This window comes from Homo sapiens, chromosome 18 (genome assembly GCF_000001405.40).
Source record: "Homo sapiens chromosome 18, GRCh38.p14 Primary Assembly".
Lineage (NCBI taxonomy): Eukaryota > Metazoa > Chordata > Mammalia > Primates > Hominidae > Homo > Homo sapiens.
In genome coordinates, this window is record NC_000018.10 from 75,241,224 (window position 1) to 75,264,480 (window position 23,257).

The 23,257-nt window shown below is 42.5% G+C and overlaps 1 protein-coding gene across 2 annotated transcripts in view, besides 1 other annotated feature; it reads left to right on the forward strand.

Annotated features, from left to right (window-relative positions):
- TSHZ1 (teashirt zinc finger homeobox 1) overlaps positions 1 to 23,257 on the forward strand; it is a 79,148-nt gene that overhangs the window by 30,427 nt on the left and 25,464 nt on the right. The gene's annotated exons all lie outside the window — the stretch shown is intronic.
- Positions 20,878 to 20,927: an enhancer, noted in NCBI's record as "active region_13506". NCBI's record gives its function as "activates an Ori minimal core promoter by ATAC-STARR-seq in GM12878 lymphoblastoid cells {active_cell/tissue: GM12878}" and the evidence as "EXISTENCE:reporter gene assay evidence [ECO:0000049][PMID:35858748]".

The following is a 23,257-nucleotide window of genomic DNA, read 5'->3' on the forward strand; positions in this document are numbered from 1 at the left end:
TGTGGGATCCAGAGTCCGGAGTGGGCTGGGGGTCTGCTCCTGCAGTCCCGGCATGTTTCTGGGATTAGAAGAGCTATGCTATCTCTCCCCTGTAAAAGCGATTGGTAGCCTTGTTGTGAGCTTGCAGTTCAGATGGCACCATAGGACTGGCTAGCTGGGGCCTGGCTCTCCTGTGCCATCTGGGTGGCTACTTGCTGCATCGCTGATGGGGGCAGGTGAGTCTCCCCCTCCGCATAAGGAGTCACGGGCCGGGGGTTGGCGGGATGTGCGTCTGTGCCTGCAGGTGGGCAAGGAAGCCTGGGGAGAGAGTTGATGTCCGCGGATGGGAAGGGCCACGCTGGCCATTTCATTCTATACCTGGGCTACTAATGTTTATTCCATCTTGTTTATGGTTCTTTTAGCCAACTTCTTCCTTATTTAGTGACATTCATAACAAATCAATACAAATTAAAACCATAAACAAACCAATAGTTAAAACAACATACATTTATTCTCTCCCAGTGCTGGAGGCCAGAACCCTGAGATCAAGGTGTTGGCAAGGCCAGCCTCCCTCTGAAGGCTCCAGAGGAGAATCCTTCCTCCCCTCTTCCAGCTCCTGGTAGCTCCTGGCAGTCCTGGGTGTCCTTGGCTTGTGGTGCATCACACCAGTCTCTGCCTTCTCCGTGTGTCCTCTCCTCTGTTGTAAGGTCACCAGTCTTTGGACTTAGGACCCATCCTGATCTAGTATGACCTCACCCCAGCTTAACTAATTATATCTGCAAACACCCTATTTCCAAACAAAGTCACATTGTGAGGTTCTGGGAGGATATGAATTTTAGAGGACACTATTCAACCCATGAGAGATACCAAAGGACAAAATTACATTATGTCCTGTCATTTGTGCAGCAGCCTTTATTGAGGACTGGAGGTAGAGAAGTAACCCACTCTGAATCACAGATGTGCTCAGGATACTTTGTCAAGAAAACAGCCATTAATTTGGTTTGATAACCAATAGTTGTGGATAACCCATAGTTATCATTGATAATAAGCAACTCACAGAGTGTCCTCTTGACCATGTGGTGTTTTGACTTTGGCCATTGCTGGCCCCACAGTGACACACGAGCTGGCTGGTCCCAGCAGGGAGTCATCGCATCTACAGGCACTTACTCAGCAGCTGCAAGGAACCTATCACTTTACCAGGTGGGGAGGGTGGCACAAAAGAAAGGTCCCCAATTGCTTATCCTCAAGAAACTTGCACTGTTTTGATTCCATGGTACATGTTGAAGCAAACTGAGGTCAGTAAATAGGTGGACCATTTGTCATTCTGAATACATTTCCATGAAATTCGGCAGCTCATTAGCAAAATATTTCTTTTATTTGGTTTGGGCATATTGATTTGGATATCATCTTCAAACAAAATGGTAGCTGATGTCTGCTACATAGGGTCCAGCTTTTGTAGAATAAATATCAGCAGAGCTGTCGTTATTAGATTTGGTAATGACAGAGATGTGGGCAGTTCAGCAGTGAGCAGTGGTGACTTAAAGTGAGAGAGGGTTGGGTGAAGGGTACTAGCTGATTGTTGCTTGGATTTTATGGCCATAATGCATGGTGTTTCCATAGCTTATACTTATTCGTTTGAAGCAGATCTGTTCCTAATATCCGTGGGTCCTGAGTCTTGAAATTCTTTGCTTTCCAATTCTGTCTTCCTCCACCCCTAGAGGGGCCTCCTAGTGAACATGTGTTGCTCTATCCTGCATGTCACTCTGCTGTCCCTGAGGTGCACACACTGGGGGTGCTGTGGTCATGCAGGAGAACAGCCCGGGGGATGGGGCCGGTGAGGTCTGGAGGCAGATCAGAGAGGTCCTGGGTGCAGATACCTGGAGCACAGCCTAGGATGCAGCTGGGGCATGGCTGGCACCTTTCTGTGGGGTTCTGAGGCCAGTCAGGGACAAGAGGGGTACTGCAGGCTTACCCGGGCTGGCCCATTTTAACTCTTCGTGGACTTTTGTATCACCCCTGGGTAAGGTTGTCATTCACACCGTAAAGTGGTGTAGCTCCGATGGTTTCCAGTTCATTCTTCCAACAGCCATTGTTGAGTGTCTGTCGTATCTGAGGCATTCTACTGGACATTTTGAGAAATGCAATGATGAGCGGGACGGATCTTGCCCTCAGTGAGCTTGCAAGTCTTGTTGGGGAAAAAGACGCGTGTGTATACCTCTCTTAATGAAGTGGAAAGTGATAGATGTTACGGGGGCATTCCAGATAACTTGTTATGGGGAGTCAAAACCCAGAAAGATACTGCTTGTCTGGGTGGGCTGAGGGGTGGGGAAGATGAGGAGATCAGGGGCTTTGTGGAGCAGCAGCTTGTGTGTGGTTTGAAGGATGAATCAATGTGGGTTTGTCATTGTAAGCAGCAGTTGGAAAAGGGTCTCCTCCTTGTGGCGTTTGTTTGTGGATTCAGTAGGACTAGCTGAGGAATGTTCAGATTTAGGAGAATGACAGGCACCATGTATTTTCACCTGTAACATCAATCTTTTGACTTAGCAACCCTAAATTAGCCTGAGAGTCCAACATTTTTTTATGTACTATGTGTGCATAGTCCTCCTTTGAGTTGAACTTGGATAGTTTTGCCTTTCCTCAACATTATTAATAGGGTCTTGGTACAGACTTTTCAGTTATAACACAACATGTACGTCCTGAAGGAACAGGGCTTATGGAAAAAATAGAGCTGGGGCCAGGCCGCTCAAACTCCATGTAGCTTGGAAACAGTATAAAAAAATACATGATACATTTCTAATACATAAAGCAATATTATGGTAAGTATGGGGTTTTATATTAGGAAAAAGCTTGTTGGAAGGGGATGAGGTTGCTTGACTAGCTAGATCGGAGCAGGAAGGAGCAAGTGGAAAGCAGGTTGAAGACAGCGTGGTGGAGCTGCACTGTCGGGGGAATAGGCATCGTGCTCGGAGTTCCGGGTTCCCTTGCACCCCAGAAAATTCTGAGGCTGGTGACCTTTGCTGTCGGTGGCCCTTCCACCCACGGTTGTGCCCCTTTTAACTCTTCCTGGACTTTTATATCACAACCGGGTAAGGTTGTTATTCACACCGTAAAGTGGTGTAGCTCCGATGGTTTCCGGTTCATTCTTGCAACAACCATTTTTGAGTGTCTGTCCTCTCCAAGGCATTCTACTGAACATTTTGAGAAATGCAATAATTTCTTAAATGCAATGATTTCTCAGTGATGTGGCGCATTCCTGTGCTGGAAAAAGCATGTGTGAACCCATGGGCTGTCACCTAGACTGATATGACAGTGGCCCCTGTTGGCTGGTGGAGGAGGCGCTGGCCTGGTTACAGAGCCTGCCTTCTGGCAGGTAGACCAGGCCGGCTTTCTCCAGTGCGGTTGGGCCGGAACCCCGGGATGGTGAGCCTTTCTTTGTGGTCGTTGCTCTGCCAATCTTGAGTCCGTCCTTGCTTTTTGCTGGCATAAAGCGCTTTGGGTATGCTGTGTTCTGCAGGCTCAGTGCAGCGTTGAGCTTCAGTGCCCCGTGTTTCCTGGGGGATGAGGTTCCCGGTGAGTCTCCCTGTTATGACTTGAGACAGTGGATAATAGTTACAAAAGGAGGCCTTGGTTTAGTGAGAGCTGGTTCAGGTGGCTGAAAAACACGACCGTTTGACCGAATTCCTTTCAAAGATTTATAATCCAGCCCTAAATATGTGAACGTTTGTCTCTTCTCTCTCTCCTCTCTTTCTCTCCACCTTCCCCCATCTCTCTCTCTTGTCTGTCTCTCCCTCCCTCTTTCTGCCCACATGCACCATCTTTCTCTGTCAACACTGAAGGAGAGAACTCTTTTAAAAGTTAATGAACGAGTTGCAGTGGAACCCTATTAGATTTTCCTTCCATTAAATGCCTGCTACAGACTTCTAGTGGATGTTTTAACTAGGCATTGTTATCAAAAGGACTATTGCACAAATTAAAACCAGGCCCACAATCTATGAAGAGAAACCGGATTGACTTTTTGCCTTCAGGTAAAAAAGAAAAATGCATGGAGGAGTTGAACTCCACATTGGTATTTTTAGAAGTTGGATGCGGGAAATAGCCAGTGCCACCTGAAGCTGTGGAAACAAACAGGAGCTTGGACTTTGCAGGCATACCTCTTTTTAAAGTGAAGACATTTTCAGGAACCCCTGGATTTTTAAGGGTATGTCAGTGTTAATTTTTAACTATGTAATTGGTATTTTAAATATCTTTTTAGTTTGTACGATGCTGCTGTGCGTGTCCCATTTTTAAACCTGTGGAGCTCTCTTAAAAGGAAAAGGTCAGGCTTTCCAGGTGCCCGCTGCACCAGACGTGGGCTGTCTCCTTGCAATCACCGCAAGAATGGAGAATTTTTAAAACTGCCAGATTTTTAGTTTCTTGTTTTGTTCTGATTGATTTTATTTTAGCAAATTTACCCCTTTGTCCCTGTAAAATTTGCTTAGTCAAATGACAGATTTTGTGTTTCACATCCGGGAAGTCGTTGTCTTATCCAGGCAGGTCCTGGAGTGTTCTTCTATTTCTCCATCCACAGCTTTGTGATAAAGTCACTGTCAGTTTCTATCATAAATTATTCATAATCATGGTGCTTAACAAAAGATGCCAAGTTCTCAATGGATGCCCACTCTATGTACCATAACAGAAAAAAAGTTGTGTTTTCTTGTACTAAGTGTTGTTCTGATTAGTCTTAGTGTTAAATCTTGGTTAGCACTTGGCTTTGACTTCCACAAATACAATGCTCTGAATCAAATAAGTGCCAGGGGAGCGGGCTTCCCCTCTCCCCCAGCAAACACCACCTCACCGCCCTTCCAGGCACGTCACCAGCACCGAAGCGCCTTTACCTTATCAGCGTGGATTCAACCAAGACCTGCGCTTCACGTTTTGCTTCTTGAAAGCCAACATTTTGAAAAGAAAGTCAAACAGAGCATTTGTTAGTTGGGCATTTCCTACGAAAGACCAGCTCCAGTTCTTTGGAAGGAAATTGGCCAGATGCATGCACTGTTCAGGGCTTGTCTTAGTGCTAAAATGTAGCTAACGTGTGTGGCAAAGGTGAGGAAGTCCTGTGAGCTTCATAGTGGGAAGCGTCTCTTCTCATCTCAGGGCAGTGGGGATGACGATGGGGGCCTTGGTTCTCTGTTCAACCTCTGATGGGGTGTTTTTGGTTTCTGGTGTGTGTGTGTGTGTGTGTGTGTGTGTGTGTGTGTGTGTGTCAGAGAGAAAGAGAGAGGTAGGTCATATCCCTGTATCAGGTCCATCAAAACACACCCCAGTGCAGAACTCTTGATCCCTTGATTGCCTGCAAGCTCACAGCACACAGTGATAAGTGAAATCTCTGAGAGTAGATTTAATTTTATGAGCTGTATTATCCAAGAATACTAAGCCGTGGAGATCATGCTCAAGTCATGGGGTTTAAAGGGGTGATGGCTTCAGTTCTCTGTGTGGGGGAAGAAAGCCTGTGGCCTTTTTTTGTTTTTAGGCACAAAGCTAGTTTAATTGAAAGAATAATTTGATTTGCTGCTGCTACAGCAGAAGAGCTTGAGATGTGGCAAATTTTCTCTCCTTTCACCCAAACTCAAGAATTTAATGCTAGCAGGTGAACTTCTGAAGGCTGCTATCAAGTAGACAGAGACAATAACTGTCTTAAAAGCAGAATTTTGTCAATATTTTTTGCTGTGGGCCAAAGAACATTCACAATAATGGAGTACTAAAGCCCTGCTTGAAAATGCTGTAGAGGGAGCGGGAGTGGAGGATTTATTCCAAGTTTGAGCCTGCAGTGTTTTGGTGGTATATATGATTTCTGAATAATCTTTTTGCTCGAGCAAATGGAGGCACCCAGATATAATTTTCTGTTCAGGAAGAGCATTTGGTAGGCATTGCTACCCAGGGTTGCTGAACTGGAAGTGCCCTAGGCTGTAGTTTCTTTTCAGTTGCCGCATCGACCCACCACCGACCGTACACCTTCACCAAATGCCAGTGTTTTCTGACAGATAAAACAGGAGGTGGAATGGCCAGGAGCAGGCCATGCGGTCAGGGCTGAGGCGGTGGGCCTGCTGCTGGGAGAGGTACCCCAGAGGGCCACACTGCTCCTGCCAGGGGGGGCTGTGCCTCTTCTCTCAGTGAGTGGAGTCCCTTTGCCCTTGGTTTTAAATATGCCATTTCACCATGCTTTTGTAGAAAGTTGGTTAAACAGCAAATTGCACAACCCACAAAATGTAATGGCCTTTATGACTTAAAACAGATGCTAGATTCAGTTGCGTGAATTGCCTTGCCCCTTAAGTTATCTTACTTTGAAAAGAACGATTCCCTGAAATTTCACTTTGGAAAACACTGTTTCCCTCATTCTGCTTATGAGAACTGGTGCCTACATTTTTAATGCTATTGCAGTAAAGCGATTTTCTGATATAGATAGAGGTGAAGCCATTTTTGTAATTTTTCCAGTGTTCTCCGTATTTGGTATAATTAGAAGGGAGAGACGGAGGAGCAGTCACACACTCATATGTGAGCACACACACACTCACCCACAGCAGAGAAGCACAGCTTTGTCCTTCTTTTGAAGTGTGAAAAATATCAGTGACCTTATCATTAAATATACTTGTTGCTGTATTTATTTGAAATGTTCAGACCTTACTTTTTTTTTTTTTTTACTTCCTGTTCATTTTAGTGGGAAAGGGTGATAGCAAAAGATTTTATTTATTCAGAGCCACAGTGCAGGCAAAGTGAAAGTAAATCCTAGGCTTCCGGTGCATTCAGAAACCACAGTAAGAAAGCACTGTTTTCTCAAATATAAAGATAAGCGCACTAGCCAAATAATTTTTTTGAGGAGGTTGGAACAATAGAAGCCATCTAGAACTATTATTTGAGGCTATATATGAAAAATATATGTGAGCTTACAAAAATGTTTCTCATACTGGAAACTGTATCCATCAGGCAGACAAGACTTTCATCATGTTTATAGACAGTGATAGCAATGTAGCTCTGTCATAATATCAGTGGCCTCAGTAATTGTATTCTACTTCAAGTATAAGGTTCTGATTCTGGCGCAAGTTAATAATTCTGTTTTTACTGAAGACTTTTTCCCTTCAGAAATATCATATGATGAAGTTGCCTGTGGAAGGTGATCGAAGTGTATTCACCCTCAGGTTCATCTGGAAAGTCCTAGACTGTGGCCCACATGTTTCCTTCACGCTCACCTTCGTGTGTATTTCAGGCATTACCTTGTGATTGTTTAGATACTCTTATCATTATACATAATCCAAGGGTTATTTATCGTAAGATAGACTGAGTAATGCTGAACTCACAAATATGGGGCTGAAAATGTAAACACATTTTTGTAAATCCAATTGACAGTTAATTGGCCCACATTAATGGAGAGTTGAAGTGAAAGAAAATAGAAAACCACAAATTTCTAAAAGAAATTTTTCCCCTCATTTGGAATCCATTTTATACGTTTATTGGAAGCTAATGTTTCAGTTAACTATGACATATAGATATACGTTTACTTGCCTAATTATACTTGCTGTTAACAATACATCATGTGTTTGCCTGTGCGTCCAGCTTTGCGAGTGTGATGGTTTAATTACCCTCTGTGGTGTCTGCACGCTCTGCTAAGTCTTGTGTGGGGGAACGGTTAGAAATAGCCGCAGAGGCAAGGATTTAGAAGCTGGTGTGCCGTGAAGCCATAGGGTCACCCACCAGCAGCAGTACCAGGCGAGCCACCTCCGCGTGGGAGGAGGCCCAGGTGTCTGCTTCCTAACGCGGGGCCTGAGCCGGGCACCCTGGGGTGGAGAGGCTTGGATGGGAGCCCCAGATCTGGGCCACTGTGGTCCCTGGGCTACTGGGGGAAAGCCAGGTCCTTCACCGCCCTCCTGCCTACCCGGGGCTCTGGGCTCCAGGCCGTGGCTGCTCTCTGTCCCTTGTCCCTGCGGCCACCCAGGCCCCACCTGCTACCCGGGCAGGCTGCTCAGACACACATCCTTCCTAGTGGTCTTCCTGCAACTCCTCTGGTGGAGACCCCGGAGCCACACGGGTTGAGAGCCCTGGGTGCCTCGCCTGCCCCCACGGGGTCCTGGGGAGAGGATCATGCCCTGTGGCTCTGCATCGCTCTCACCCCTGTGGCGGGTGGGGGCAGCTGGCCTTCTCCCTGCCCTACCCCTGCAGTAGGTGGCGCAGGGTGCAGGCGGGTGGGTGGGGGGAACAGATGACTTCCTCCTCATCTAACTCCTGCAGTGGATGGGGGTGGCTTTGGTAGGGGGGAAGGGTAGGTAACTTCCTTCTCATCTCACCCCTGAAGTAGGTAGGGGCAGGTGACCTCCTCGCCATCTCACCCCTATAGTAGGTGGGGGATGCATGACCTCCTCCCTACCTCACCCCTGCAGTAGGTGTGTTGTGTGGGGGTGACTTCCTCCTCCTCAACTCACCCATGCAGTAGGTGGGGGACGTATGACCTCCTCCCTGCCTCACTCCTGCAGTAGGTAGGGGTGAGGGTATGACTTCCTCCTCCTCACCTCACCCCTGCAGTAGGTGGGGGGAGGTTACTTCCTCCTCCCTGCCTCACACCTGCAGTAGGTGGGGGTATGACTTCCTCCTCCTCACCTCACCCCTGTAGTAGGCGGGGCGGGGGTGACTTCCTCCTCCCTGCCTCACCCCTGCAGTTGGTGGGAGGTGCATGACCTCCCCATCTCACCCCTGCAGTAGGTGGGAGGGTTGACTTCCTCTTCCTCGTCTCACCCCTCCAGTTGGTGGGGGGCGCATGACCTCCTCATCTCACCCCTGCAGTAGGTGGAGGACGCATGACTTCCTGCCTTCCTCCTGCAGTAGGTGGGGGGTGGGGGTGACTTCCTCCTTCTTGCCTCATCCCTGCAGTTGGTGGGGGACGCATGACCTCCCCGTCTGACCCCTGCAGTAGGTGGGGGGTGACTTCCTCCTCCCCCTCTCACCCCTCCAGTAGGTGGGGGGGTGACCTCCCCATCTCACCCCTGCTGTAGGTGAGTGGGGTGACCTCCTGGCTGGCCCTGCCAGGCTCTTCCCTGTCCCCAGTCGCAAGGGTACTCTCCCAGCCTCCACGCTCCACGCCCACACCCTCGCCCCACTTGCCCAGCCCCGGCAGGAGCTTCTCCCCGCAGAGTCCCCAGTGTTTTCTAGAAGCTTTGCCTCCCCCTGTGGGCTCTCCCTTCCGTCCCGCTCTGTAGCTGGCAGGCGGCCTGTCCTCCCTGCAGCAAGGGGCCAGGGTGGGCGCAAGCCCTCCTGCCCTCCCCGCGTGGACGTGGACGGGGCGGTGCGGGCTGGCCCAGGGTCCGGGGTGCCTGCAGCGTGCTGGGCCAGCCAGGCGGTAGAGGGTCGGCTCAGCCAGTGCCCATGGCAGCACCTGCATGAGGTCCCCGCTTCCTGGAAACTGAGCCCGGGAACGGCCTTGGCCCGGGGAAAGCAGGGCTGAGTGCATCTCCCCTCTGAGAGCATGAGGTGCTAGCAGAGCTCGTGGGCCGGGCCTTTACCGTCCGGATGGGTCTGGGATGAAGGCCACAGGTCACCCAGAGCGGGACTGGGTCAACAGTGGCTTGATGTCCTGGCACAGACGAGGGTCCAGGATGGATTCGATTCCTTCGGTGCCTGTGGGAGGGCGGAGGCCTGGCCGCAGTTCTGCAGCCGACGAAGGGTGGTCTGAAGACCCCCGACACCTATTTCAGTGCCTGTGCCCTCAAGATGTACCAGCCCCGGGCGTGTTTGCGGGGACATGCCTCTTTGCAATGAGTGTAGTAGTTAACCCCATGCACAGGAGTTATTTAGACCACACTCTCCTATTTTTGTAGGATCTTTTAAAAAATTACTTTGCTTTTGTCAGTGTGTTCTTCTATTTCTTTTTACTGGTAAAGTCAATTACTGAAGAAAAATAATTTCGAACTAGAAATTATCTTTTTAGTTTGAAATAAAATTATGTGCAAGGAGCTTCTAAATTATCTAATATTTTTTCCTCTTTGCAAAAGTGTTAATATTATATGGAAAAATTGGAAAAACACAGAAAAATAAACAAACCAAAAAAAGCATTATTCAAGATCCTCCTACCCCAATGTAGCTTACTGTGAACATTCTTATCTGAATTCTTTCAGGGTCTTTTTCTTTCTTGTTTTTTTTTTGCTCTACAGATATTTTTCAAACAAAGATGGGAGGATGGTAGTATTTATTGGCTTGCTTTTTCACTCACTAAATGGTGAACAGCTTTTTACACAATTCTTTATACATTTTCATTATTCTTTCTTTAGGGTTTTTTTTTTTTTTTGACATTGCTTGGTCAAGCTTTGGCACCTACTGCAAACCTGTTTTCAAAATATATCCATCTATCTTTCCATTTCTAGTGCATGAAAACGATCATATTCCTGGGCCGTTGCCAGCATGGGTATTTTTTAATTTGACAATCTTTGCCAGTTTAGTAACTGTGAAGTAGTGTTGTTTCAGCTTGCATTTCTTGGATTACACGTGAGGGGGGAGCAATTTTTCCATATGTTTTATGAGACAAAGGTATTTTTTCCTTTTTGAATTATTTTCGGTCATGTTATTTGCTAATTTTTCTGTTGCTTTGTTCCATCATCTTACTCATTTGGAAAAGCTGGAATAAAGGTGTTAACTCATCGCTTTAGCATCTCTATACTTGCAGTCCCCACCTTCTGTTGTCTTTTAAGATTATGCAAGTGATACAGGCTTATTTTAGAAAAACTTGAACAAAGAAAAAAATTTAAAAATTAATGAAACTTATTTGAAATCCCATCATCCAGAAATTACCAAAATTGATATTTGGGTATATATTCTTCTGGATCACTTCCTATGCAGATCTATTAATGTCTGTCTGTCTATCTATATTTATCTCTGTCTCTGTATCTATTTATCTATCTTTGTCATTTTCAGTGCATGTATAGTATCCCATTTTGTTGTTATGCACAAATTACTGGAGAAATCAACCATTGTTGGAAGTGTGGTTTTCTCCCACTTTCATATTATAAACAGCTGTGTAATTAATATCTTTGTATGTATATCTTGGCCATAGTCTCATCATTTCCTTGATAAATTCCCACAAGTAAAATTACCAGGTCAAAGGTTTTGGATGTTTTAAATTATTTTGTTGCGTGTACTGCCAACTGGCCTTCTGGGAAGGTCGTGCACATTTTCAGTCCCACCAGTGACATGCATTTCTCTGGGTTATGGCATTTTTTGATATATTGAGTTGTTTTTATGTAGTTTAGTTGGTCCTTTCTTGCATAGTTTCTGCTTTTAAAGTGATGTTTAAAGGTGCCTTCCAATTCTCAAGATTATGTAAATATTCAGTTTTATTTTTATGAATTGATTGTTTTATGTTTAAGTATTTGATACATCTAAAATTAATTTTGGTATATGGTGTGGGAAGGGCATCTCACCTTATTATTTTTCTAAATGCCATTTATTTAAAAATCTGTTTTTCCTAATTGGAATTCTAAATGCTAACTTCATTGTACACCAAGAATATAGATATATGTATATATGTATATATTTGCGATTGTCTTTCAAATTCCATTTTGATTTCAATGAACAATCTGCCTCTGTTCCTGCCCTGTGTCCCCTTGTTTTAAGTACTATATCTATAAAATACAATTTAAATAATATAGCTTTCTACCCACCCCCTGTGCCCATTACTTTCCTTTTTTCAATGAATACTTTTTTCTGTTCTCCTAAAGAAACTTTAGAATCATTTTTGTCACACCTTGGGTAATTTGACTGAAATGGTATTTAATAAGTTAATTCTGGAATACTCAGCATCTTTATAGTGGTAAATTTTCCATTCTAAAAACAACTTTGGTATATTTTCAAGTTTATTCAAATCTTATTTGCTACTATTAAGTTTTGTGAGTTTTTTCAGAGGTAATCGCCTAGGTTATTTATTTATCTGTTTTTGTGATTTTCTCCTTTGTGAATGGACTTTTCTGTTATATTTTAACTGGTTGTGTATTGAGATGCTGTTGATTTTGGGAATCTTTCTGATTAGCTGTTTGTATTAGCAGATGCTGTTGTTTGCCTTTGTATGTGGTAGCTAGATTTCAGTACTAGATTTTAGTACTTTTTTATCATGACCTTCTCTTGTGGCTTTTCTATTTTGAGAAAATACTATAACTCTTCAACATTGCTGAATCAATGGGGAGTGTTTGGATTTTTAAAAAATCAAATATCAGTTGACAATGATGCCTTAACGCATCTTCTGCAAATAAATAATCAATGGTTAAAATCAGCCCAGGCTGCAGCAGCATGGGAACTCCCGCTCTTCAGCGGAGGTTTGGGAAGCAGAAATTTTACTTGGGTAGTGTAGAATCAGTGAGATACTGGGATTATTTACCCTGGAAAAGGAAACCATCTTCAGGTCTGTGAAGGCTGACTGTTTAAAAAGTGAAATCTTTTCAGAGTGAATTGGCAGGAAAAGGGGCTTAAACACAATGAAATAGTGAAAGCAACTATATGTGCAAGTAAAAATTGCCCACTGGATAGATGGCTTAGGCATGAGGGAAAGGACCTGATTTTTTAAAAGGTGTGTTAATAATGAAATCTTCCTAATTTTCTCACAGTCTTCAGTTTTAGGGAAGGCCTTTTGCAGATATTGTTCAGATGTGCTGCTTTATAAAATACCCACCAGTTTTTCAGATCAGTGTTATCTGGTAGTGGTGAGAGAATCTTTAAAAACATATAAAATCATATGGGTTTGTATTTGCCACTGCACAGGCCTAATTCCTGTTGCGTAATCTCCAGATCCTTTAGCCCCTGGCCTGGGCCTGGCGTAGCATTGACTGCAGTATTCCTGTGTTTGGGGTAGTTTTTCATGGTCGTCTTTAAGCTAATGTAAAATATTTTCCCCTTTTTCATGCTTCTGTTTGGTTTTAAAAATGAAAATTAAATCTTGGCTTGCTATTCGAGTACACTGTGATTTAGAAGTTAAAGCAAGGAATTGACAGTCATGTTTTTGCTCAGTTTTAATAAATGTGTCTCTTAGAGCCACCCATTTCTTCTCTGTTAAAAGGGAATACTACTGCTTTATGGGACTACAGGATGCTTTAATATGATAATACATAAATAAGGATTTGAGACATTAACAGAAAATATCTTTTTGAAACATAGTAAAACCTCGTCTATGCAGAAACCTATTAATTACCATCTTTATTTTTCTAGATCAGAACTAAGAATCAGAAGGGATAAAAAGACACTGAGCATGAAAAGTCCATGTACTGAATTCATTATTTACTCATAGACAATATCTCCAGGTTGTCAATCATTATTTAAATTTTATTGTTCTGTTACACACAGTTCTGATATTCACGAGTATCTTCTAGGCTACAGCAAATTAAAAGTAGTAAATTGGGAGTGGGAAAAGACACACAGATAACAGGGAGAAATGATAGCAGATGACCTAATAGTAAGCAAGAAGAGAAGGAAAAAAACTATAGCAAAATAATAAATAATATGAAAAGCACAGCACTGTGGGCCTTTTCTTAGAAATGGAATAGCTCTTTGCCCTTTCTGGTTATCACTGATCGCTCACAGGTTTTATTTCTAGTTGTTAGAGAACTTTAATTTTATTCAGCATGCTTTAAATAGTGTGGCAAAAGCATGTAGATTTTATGTAGATTTTTCCAGTGCTTAAACATTTTTATAAAATTCTGTTTAAAAGGGTAAACTCCCAATTATCCAGAAAACCCAGCCTCCAAAAATGACTCCCCAGAATAGTTGTGATTTTACTTCATGATATACTTTCAATAATTGATAGTATAAATTCTTTAAGTATTTTATGGACACATTTTTTGCATATAGTCTCTCGATGATGAAACACACCTTCTGTATCTGTTTTAATGTATGTATCCTTTGAATTGAATTTGCTGGAAAAAATTTGGTTCTGTTCCTCTGACATGTATATTTCCTTTCTTCCTCCTCTACCATCTGGGATGCTTTCTCTAATATCGCATTTGGAAGAGGATGACGCTCACTGTGTTGTTTCAGCATATGTGGGTCTGGTTGAATTCACGTCTGCCTGTTCACCTCTAGTTTTTCATTTTCACACCTCCATGGAGGTGGTATGCTGCTCTTCCATGCCTGGTAGAGCTGTAGGAAATGTTACTTAAATGTGTGAATGTGACCACCAGGGTACATTTATCTCAATAGGAAACAAATATGCTAAATACAGGTAACATGCTATTTATACTTACAGGTAATAACTTATATCTTCTAACCAATCATTTTCCCCCTAACATAGCTGGGGATATTTTACAAGCCAATTGTCGCATTAAAAACTGTAACTCTTTGATTTTATATGTGATACAATATCTAATAATACTCCCAGGAAAATGCCAGTTGTATTTTTTAGTACCTGTGTGATTTTCTTGATTGCTAAAATATACGTATGTAGATTGAACATAAATGAAAAAATTGAAGTCCGGGTTTGAAGATTTCTAGGAAATTACTTTTCATTGAACACAGCTGCCCAAATTGTTTGATTTCTGTTAAACACAATGGAATTGTTCCAGTGATGCTGCAGTTACAAAAACAAAAGATAACAAATAGACCACGTTTCTGCATGTGTATTTTACTTCTTGTACTCAGGAAGAGACTGAGCTAATGAAGAAATTAACATTTGTACTTATGTCCTAGAAGAATGTCATCAGAACTATTTATTGCTCACTAAAGAAATTAAATTACTTAATGAAGGTGAATTATTAACTTAATTTATTAGGAATTTAATTTCGGAGCTATTTTCATAGGGATATTGGCCAAGGCAAGAATGATAACACTTTAATGCATAAAGACACTCAAATGACTTTAAATAGGCAACTAAAACTATTTCAGTGGAAACAGATATTTCTGTGCTTTAAATAACAATTTTTCAAAGAAGATCTATTATCAATGTAACTATGCAATCATAAGGAGTATGACTTCTTTAAGATGAATTAATTTTCAACGGTAGTATTGCTTATCATTGACAGGCATTGTATCATTACTTTATAAATTAGGTTCCATTTCTAAAATAATTGCAAAGCAGTTTTTGGTAGCAGGGGAGCTGTTCATTGTTAATTTTCAGTCATTGAAGCCCAGAAATCAGACAGATCAAAGTGTTCTAGGTCTGGTCATAGCAGATCAGCTGGGTCACAGAGGTTTCTGAACCACATGACCCATGGTAGAGGGGTGTGTATAGTTATTCTGAAGCCTAAACTGAGTCTACTTCCCCTGGCCTAAATAAGATATGATATCATTGCCTTTACTGGATAGTTCCACCTTCTCCTATTAAAAATGCCACAAAATGGAGAGGGAAGAGATTTCTTAATATCTATGTGTTAGTGATCATAGTGAAAGCCAGAACTGGCAATTCCCTGGAATTTTCTATAAATATCTTCATATAAACATCATTATAGTGATTCATGAATTAGATGAAAGAAATGTGGGGAAAAATCTCATTTCTTCTTTAAATTGTTGTTTCTGTTTGAAATTTTTAGTGATTTTAGTAATTTTCATGAGTATATGCAATATGAAGTTTTTGGGTAATTCCTGAAGCAACATGTGTTATGTAGATACCAAAACATCTCGATGATGTGCATTTTACCTGTTCCACACCCGAATACAACCTCGGATAGTTAGGTAGCTGGAGGTTTGATGCTTGGAATTAAGATTATGTTTTAATCTTTAAGTTTTGGTATTTCAGATGAAGTATTTTTACTTATGATACACTTATGGGGAAATGCTGCTCTTTTTAAAATATTCAGATAACTTGATTGTATTGCCTGTTTATCAAAAAAGAGTGGTGATGTGCATTTGTTGCTTCAAAGATGTATGTGAAACACCCTACTCTATCTGCATCGCTGATGAAAGGGGCCCATACTTCTATTGGTTGCAGTTTTAAAGAAGACAGTTGAAGAGCTTTATCAAATTGACCTTCAATTGGGGGATCATTAATGAACTAACCTCCTTCATTGAGAGATTATTCAAGGCCCCGAGTAGCATGTGATTTCCCTTGTTTTGCGGTAATTCATTTGAAACATTTACCAAAAACCTTAATGTATACAGAAGATGCTAAACTTTTTTAAAGGGCTGGGTCCTTTTTATTGCTGTTGTAAGCCATGCCTCTTCTCATCGTGTGCCAAAACAAAAAACAAAAAACCCACACATAATTCTGCCCATGTTTCAGAATCTTGGCTAGGACAAGGCAGAGAAAGTGAGAGTTTAACCAATTAATAAGAGCAAGTGCTTGAACTAATACAACTTTCTGTGAGAAAATGTTTTTAAGGATTATTGATTATCTGAGGATATTTTGTAAGTTACTAATTTAGGAAATTTTTCATTTTTTAAAAATTTAGTCTTCAGTTACTTTAGGAAACTTAGTGTTCGTAGACAGAAAAAAAAAAAGGCTGGTGTCTGCAGATGAACTAAGGAACGGCTTTGCTTTTGCCTCTGGGATCTCTCTGATTTGGTATTCCTGATGAGGAAGCATCAGGCCAGAATGTTTGTACGCGCCCTTCCTCCTCCTCATGGATTCAAACGCCAGTCGTCACGTTAGTCATGTTGCACATGTTCCCGTGGTAACAGAAGCTCTGCCATCCCCTAGCTCTGTGAGCTTGGGTGCCTCATCTGCCTCAGTTTCTTTGTAAAATGATAGAGCTGTTGTGTGAAGTACATGATAGGAGGGCTGCACGCTTAGAACCGGGGCTGCACACGGGGCTGTGGACGTCACAGCCTCGTCATCAGAGGGGGCATCTGGACTCCTAGCAGAGCGGGAAGAGAGGAATTCCCGGCCTGTGGAGCAGTGCTCCTGGAGGCGGCCTCGACCTGCTCCTAGGACCCATCTGCCGGCTGCTGCTCCTCTGTCTGGGAGACTCTCTCACCTGAGCGTGACTCGGTGTCTGCAGCGTCACTGCAGTGTGTGAAGGCCAGTACAGGGACCCTTCCTCTGTGCTCCTCCACAGCCACCATGCGGGTTTTGTTGGATGTGTTGATGGAGTGCACGTGGTACCCACTGTCAGGGTGCTCTCTGCAAGTGCCGCACCCCCAAGCGACATTTATTTTGTACTGAAATAACATCTCTAGTGTCTACTATATGAGCTTGTATCTCATATGCTCCCATATATACTTGTTTCACACTTAAAATCTCACATGTAGTAACGGTTGCTTTCAATAAGTACACATGGGCATGATTTCCTGTAAAGGTTAGATAGCTTCTTTGTAAAGTTGCAAGTATTTGTGTACTTTATAAATGCAAGAAACTAAGCTTTACAGGCCTCATTTAAGAAAAATAAAGATTTCTTTATTTGGGAAAAAGGGAAATTTTTTTCTCCTAGAGAATGACTTTCTGTAATAAATATATTTTCCATGGTGATACAGTATATAAATGTGTGTGTCAGTGTGTCAGAAACATACTAGACTTTACTAAGGTGAGGTTGTCAACTTTTCTATTCTATTTTATTAAAAGGATGCTACAGAACTGATTTCATGATCCACTAGTGACTTATGGCCCTCAGTGAGAAAAATGCCATCCTAGAGTAGCCATCCAGGACTGCCCTCCTCACTCGAGCTCACAGTGAAGATCAGGGCAGGTGACTGTGCCATCCACTGATGGATGACGATGATGGCAGTGGTGATGTTATTGCCAGCTGCCATTTACTCACATGTTCTTAACTTGCTATTAAAAAAATTATAAAAACAGATACTTAAAAATAGTAATACAAAGTTATAAAGCATTGACATTTTATAAGAAAAGGTCAAAGAAGGTCACTCATCTTTTGCCCTTTGTCCATTTCACTTTCCTCCTCCCCTCAAGGTAACCAATAGGAGCCGCCTGTTTCTGTTTTCCTCACCTTTCTATGTGCCCACATAGGTCTATGAAAACGTATGAATGTGTGTGGGGTTTTCTTTATTTTCTAAAAAATGGAATTCATTGCAGCACAGTTTTGATTTTTGCACTTAAAAATAAGTCGCGATCATTGCTCCAGAGAGAGATTTCACTCAGTCTCTTTCATGCTGCAGACTCTCCAAGGTGTGGCCGGCCCATGTGAGTGGCCATTGCAGTAGCTGCCCCGCTTATCCTCAGTTTTGCTTTCTACGATTTTACTCACCCACAGGCAGTCAACCATTGTCCAAAAATATTAAACAGAAAATTACAGAAATAAATGCATAAGTTTTAAGTTGTGTGCCATTCTGAGTAGTGTGATGAAATCTTGTACAGTCCTACACGGTCCCTCCTAGGACACAAATCACCCCTTTGCCCGGCATATCCAGACTGTAGATGCCACTTGCCCCGGTTAGTCACTTAGTAACTGTCTTGGTTATCAAATCAACAGATCACAGAAGAAGAAGGGTGAGTACAGTGTGATAGTTTGAGAAAGAGACCCCATTCACAAAACTTTTATTACAGTACATAGTTATGATTGTCCTATTTTATTATAATTGTTAATCTCTTACTGTGGCAAATTTATAAATTAAATTTTATAATGGGTATGTACGTATAGAAGAAAAAACAGTATGTATAATGTATCCCCTGCAACTAAGGGGATACATTACCTTATTGGCAAATGTTCAGGCTGTGGATCACCCTAAACAATGCTGCTGGGTATTTACCTATGGGTGCTTTTATTTCCAAGGATATAAAAGTAGGATATCCTGGCGTCAAAGAGTATGCGTACTTTTAATTGCCAGATTGCTTCTGGAAGGGAACCCCTCTGGATAGATAACGGCAACTTCCACTTCTTGAGTGTGTGTGATGTCCCAGCTCCATGCAGCCCTTTGTACTGATGCCTTTCAGGTCTCAAGTCAGCTCTGTGCTTCATAGCAGCTATCGGCCCATGATTCAGCCGTTCTTTTCCTAACCTTGTGAATTAGTAAATGAATAAATGAACGAATGCACGAATGAGGGCAGGCCTGGCCCCGGAGGGGTTCTTTCTGTGCCCCAGGCCAGCCTCTTAGCCTGCGGCTTCTCGTGTTTCCCTGGCCTTCAGTCACTAACGTGTGAATTCATTTCAATAGCAAATATTTATTTTTATCTTCCTGGACAAAAGAAAAATATCTCCCGCTTTTGCATTTTCCCCAGCATTCAGCCTATACTCTAGGATATTGCTTACGGCATTTTGTTGTGTATTAAAATGGGTTGAAGGTTTCCTTTTTTCACATCCTACCTTTAAGTTCTATGAAGACAAAGACAGTCTTCATCTTGTATTCCCCGCAGAAGTAGTCTGGTGCCAAGTAGCAGAAGCTCAGTAAATGGTTTTGGAATATGCAGAAGAGCACCAGCAGAATCTCTGTCTGTGTCTGTGAACGAAGTCATCTTTTCCTTCTATTTTGTTATAGCCCAGTATTGTGCATAAAGTTCAGGCTGTCTGTCCTGCACTAGAGAGACACAGGCAGCTGCTGGCTGATCTTCAAAAAGGTGTGCAGAGGGCAGAGTTGGGGAGGTGAGGGGAGGACCACTGCCCCGGCCTTTTCACTGGGAGTTTCCTGGATGCTCCTCAGTTTTGCCTTTGTGACTCCTTCAGTCAACATTGATGTGAAACACGCCCTGGTTGAATGCCCAGGCATCAGACCCAAGCTTATGGCCGTGGTGGTGATATACCAGGGAAGCCTTACCTCTCCAAGTTCGAGGCACCCACAGGTGGCTTGACTTCAGGTGCTCTCTTAGTTTTATACCTACTCTCTTTACAGGAGCTCTAATGTCAAAGGAAAATGGATGGACATTTCTCAATCCATGGGACGCGCGTCCCTTTTTCCTGGCTGTGGATCTCGGCCAGGAGGAGCATGGTGGGGTGTATGGGCTTCCCCCGGGAGTGAAACTGTATCACTTCCGCTCACGTTTCATTGGCCACATCTCCTCCCACGGAGACAGAGAAGTCCAGTTCCGCGATGTACCCGGAGGAGCAGGACCTGAGTGTTGACAAACAACTCTAAGGACTACTACCCCGCCAAGTAGGAAAAGGAAAGGAGAGATGGGAAAGGGTGGAGGATTTGGGACAGTAGGTAAGAGAACTGTATCTCTTAAGAGACTTGCTGTCTAACTCTGCCATAGAGACCTTCCAAAAATGCTTTGACTCATGACAACATCATTGTAACACATTTATGGCCTTCCCAGGGTGATTCTTTTGAAGGACAACAGTCACCTCTTTACAGAAAGACATTCTCTAAAGAATGTCAGGAGTCTTGTCAGCTCATACTGGCACCTTTGATACATGGCCTGACCCATGCACTACGACCATCAGCTCAACCTTGGATGAGACGACCAGAGGTGAGAAAGCCTCAGTCCCTCAGCACAGCCACAGAGCAAGAGGGTGGCCATTGCTTCCAGCAGGGGCTGCTGCCCAGATTGACATGTGCACAGCCTGTGAGTTCGGTGTGGCTTTCTTCAAGGCTTCTGGTTCTATCTTGTTTACAACGTAATTTCTCATTTCATAGTTACATAGTGTATTCAGTTCTTAAATGACTGATAAGAGGAAGTCACAGTGCACTTCTAAGAGCTGCTGTCATCATTTGAATGCTGTAGGACCTTTGGCTGAAATGAAAAGACTTGCTATTGGGTATTTGAAATCAAATGAGAGTTTTGACGTCGGGGGTGCGTGTTAATTTCCATATAGGATAACCTTACAAATCAACTTAAAGTGTAATGAACAAGCAAATAAGTAGCTACAACTCATATGGCGTTTGGCCATGATTCAAGCCAAACCCTTGAGGCTTTTGGTGTTGAGAAGGAAGAGTTGGAGGAGTGACCTGTATTCTCTCCAGGAGACAGGGGTTGTGCCTGGTGTGACTTCAGAGTGCAGGGGGAAGCTGCTGGTTTCGATGAGATGGTGGCCTGAAAAAGCTGACAGACTCTCAGAGCCAGTTGAGAGATGCAAAACTGGTCTCTGAGGCTTTCCTTTTTAGGAAGAAATTTACACTGAAATAAGAGCTTGGTGAAGCAAAACTCCTGATTTCTCAGAAAGCATTTATTTTGCTCCAATAGGTTACCAGAAGATTGTGATCACTATAGACCTTAAGGAGCTGCCTTCCCCTTTAGTGATACTATAAAAAATACAAAACAAACAAACAAAAGACCATGGCAGGAATGATGAAGTAAGGTACTGTGTTGTACTACATGACACTGAGTCATATTAAAGATAATTGTATATGCTTTTCTATATTTTTTCTTTTATTTATTCAACAAATATTCACCAAGTGTGTGCCAAGCATTGTTACAGGTGCTACCCAGACTATAGCCTATATAGACACGGAGAGTGTGGCTTACAGGCTTATGATATGAATGTAAATCGTCAATTGGCCTCTTGGCTAGGACCATCAGGTTTGTTCTTTTAAACCTGAGAAAATAGTATTTATTCTCTATAAAATACGCTTGCATTAAGCATATATCTGGCCTCAAGAGTGGTCCTGTTATAACAAAAGCAAATGCAACGTTCACTCTGGGATGGCAGCAGGGCACTTCTCTGTTTCCAAGTGCCACACAGTCTCTGGTGGCCATGCCTCCCCTTATGTAGTTCCTCTTCTCAGCGTCTTTCCTCTTCCTGTGCCTTTTGAAATCTGTTTAGATTCAGGGAGGCTCCATTCTTCTCCTTGAGAAGCATTACCACCCTCTCTTCCATCTGTGCCCTGTACATGGCATTGTGCTTCTGACCTTCGAGGGGCTCAGAGAACATTTTCAGGTCACAGTGGTTTTTAGAGATCATCTGCTCCAACCCTGCCATTTTCATTGATGAGGACACAGAGACTTAGGCTAGATTATGGACCCTCTTCAAGTTTCCCAGCAGTGTCGTATGATTAAGACAAGAGGCCGGTTTTCTGGGTAACAGTCCAGAGCTCTTTCTCTTAAGCCATGCTGCCTCCACAGTCAATGTGTTGTGCGTCAGGAAGCTTCATACTATTCAGTATGCAGGTTCGTTAAATATTTGATTAAACATGTTACTTGTGGTCATATCTTTTTTTAAAAAAATTCAGGGCATGAAATCATCTGGAATGTAATCTAGCAAGCTAAGATTATTTCTAGGGTGAAACCAAATTCAACTTTTATCGCTTTGACTTATGACACCTTTTTGAGGACCGTGAAGTGCTAGGTCTACCTGCACTTCCATTTACATCACTACCATTTAAATAATGTCTCCTTTGTTCTTTCTCAGTCTCGTAGAGACATACTCCCATTTGTTTTGTGTTAAATATCGGTATAAATAAGTTATCAATAATCAATATATTCTCTGACACCTTGTTGTATATTTTATAAATCCCTTTTCTTGCAAGTGAATGTTAGCATTCCTAACTCTTAACATAATTAAATTATGTACTTATCAGTTAAGGAACTGGTTTGCTTTAGTGATGGTGCCAAGAGACAGTAACCATGTTCAATATGTCTATGTTTCTTATTTCATCTTGGGATTAAACCACAGAGATGGTATTTTTTGTTTGTTATGTTGTTTGTATCAACATTTCATACAGATACAATAATTCAGTGTGAAGGAAAATCAGTGTTTTCTTGAGCTGATTTACATATGGATGTCAGATCCAGTTATGCTATTTTTATAGTATTGAGGAAAACAAAATGACCTTTTACTAAGTTTTTGATACTGGAAGATTCTGTGTTTTGAGTTTGGAGGGGAGGAAGCTGCAGAGGAAAAGGAAAGAAGCAACTGTTGATTTATACCATGATGCTAGCAACAGTCAGGCATCTAAGATGCTTTTCAGCTATAATTGTGTCTTTGCTCAAGGCTACTGTAGTTATACTACATTCTATTCCATTGTCCATCAATTCCACCCATTTCAAGGAGCTGAAGCTGATGCTAACCATAGAATAGTCCAGAATATCCTTTATGTTTTTTCTCTTTGCTATAAATGCAGCGTTATTTTATAGACTGGAGATACTGCTTCATAAGATCACATAGTGCCACTCATTTATAAGATGATAGTACAATAATCAGAAGTATGTGTTAAAAATATATTTAGCTGGCTGTCCTCTTTAAGTCCCTGCTTTTTGATATGATTATTTTTCCAAAAAGAAATTGAAAACAATATGTCATCCAGTAAATATGTTCGTGGATAGCATATATCTGAAATGGATAGTTTACCCTTAACGGGAATAGTAAAATACACTACAGAAGCTTTCAGCTGGCTTCTATCAAAATAATTACTTTAGCAATTATCTCTGCCGTTCAGATAACTTTTGCATGCGGGTGGTGTTTCTGTGCCTTTCTGTTCATCAACCTCATGCTTAGCGTTCTCCCAGGAACTATTACACTGA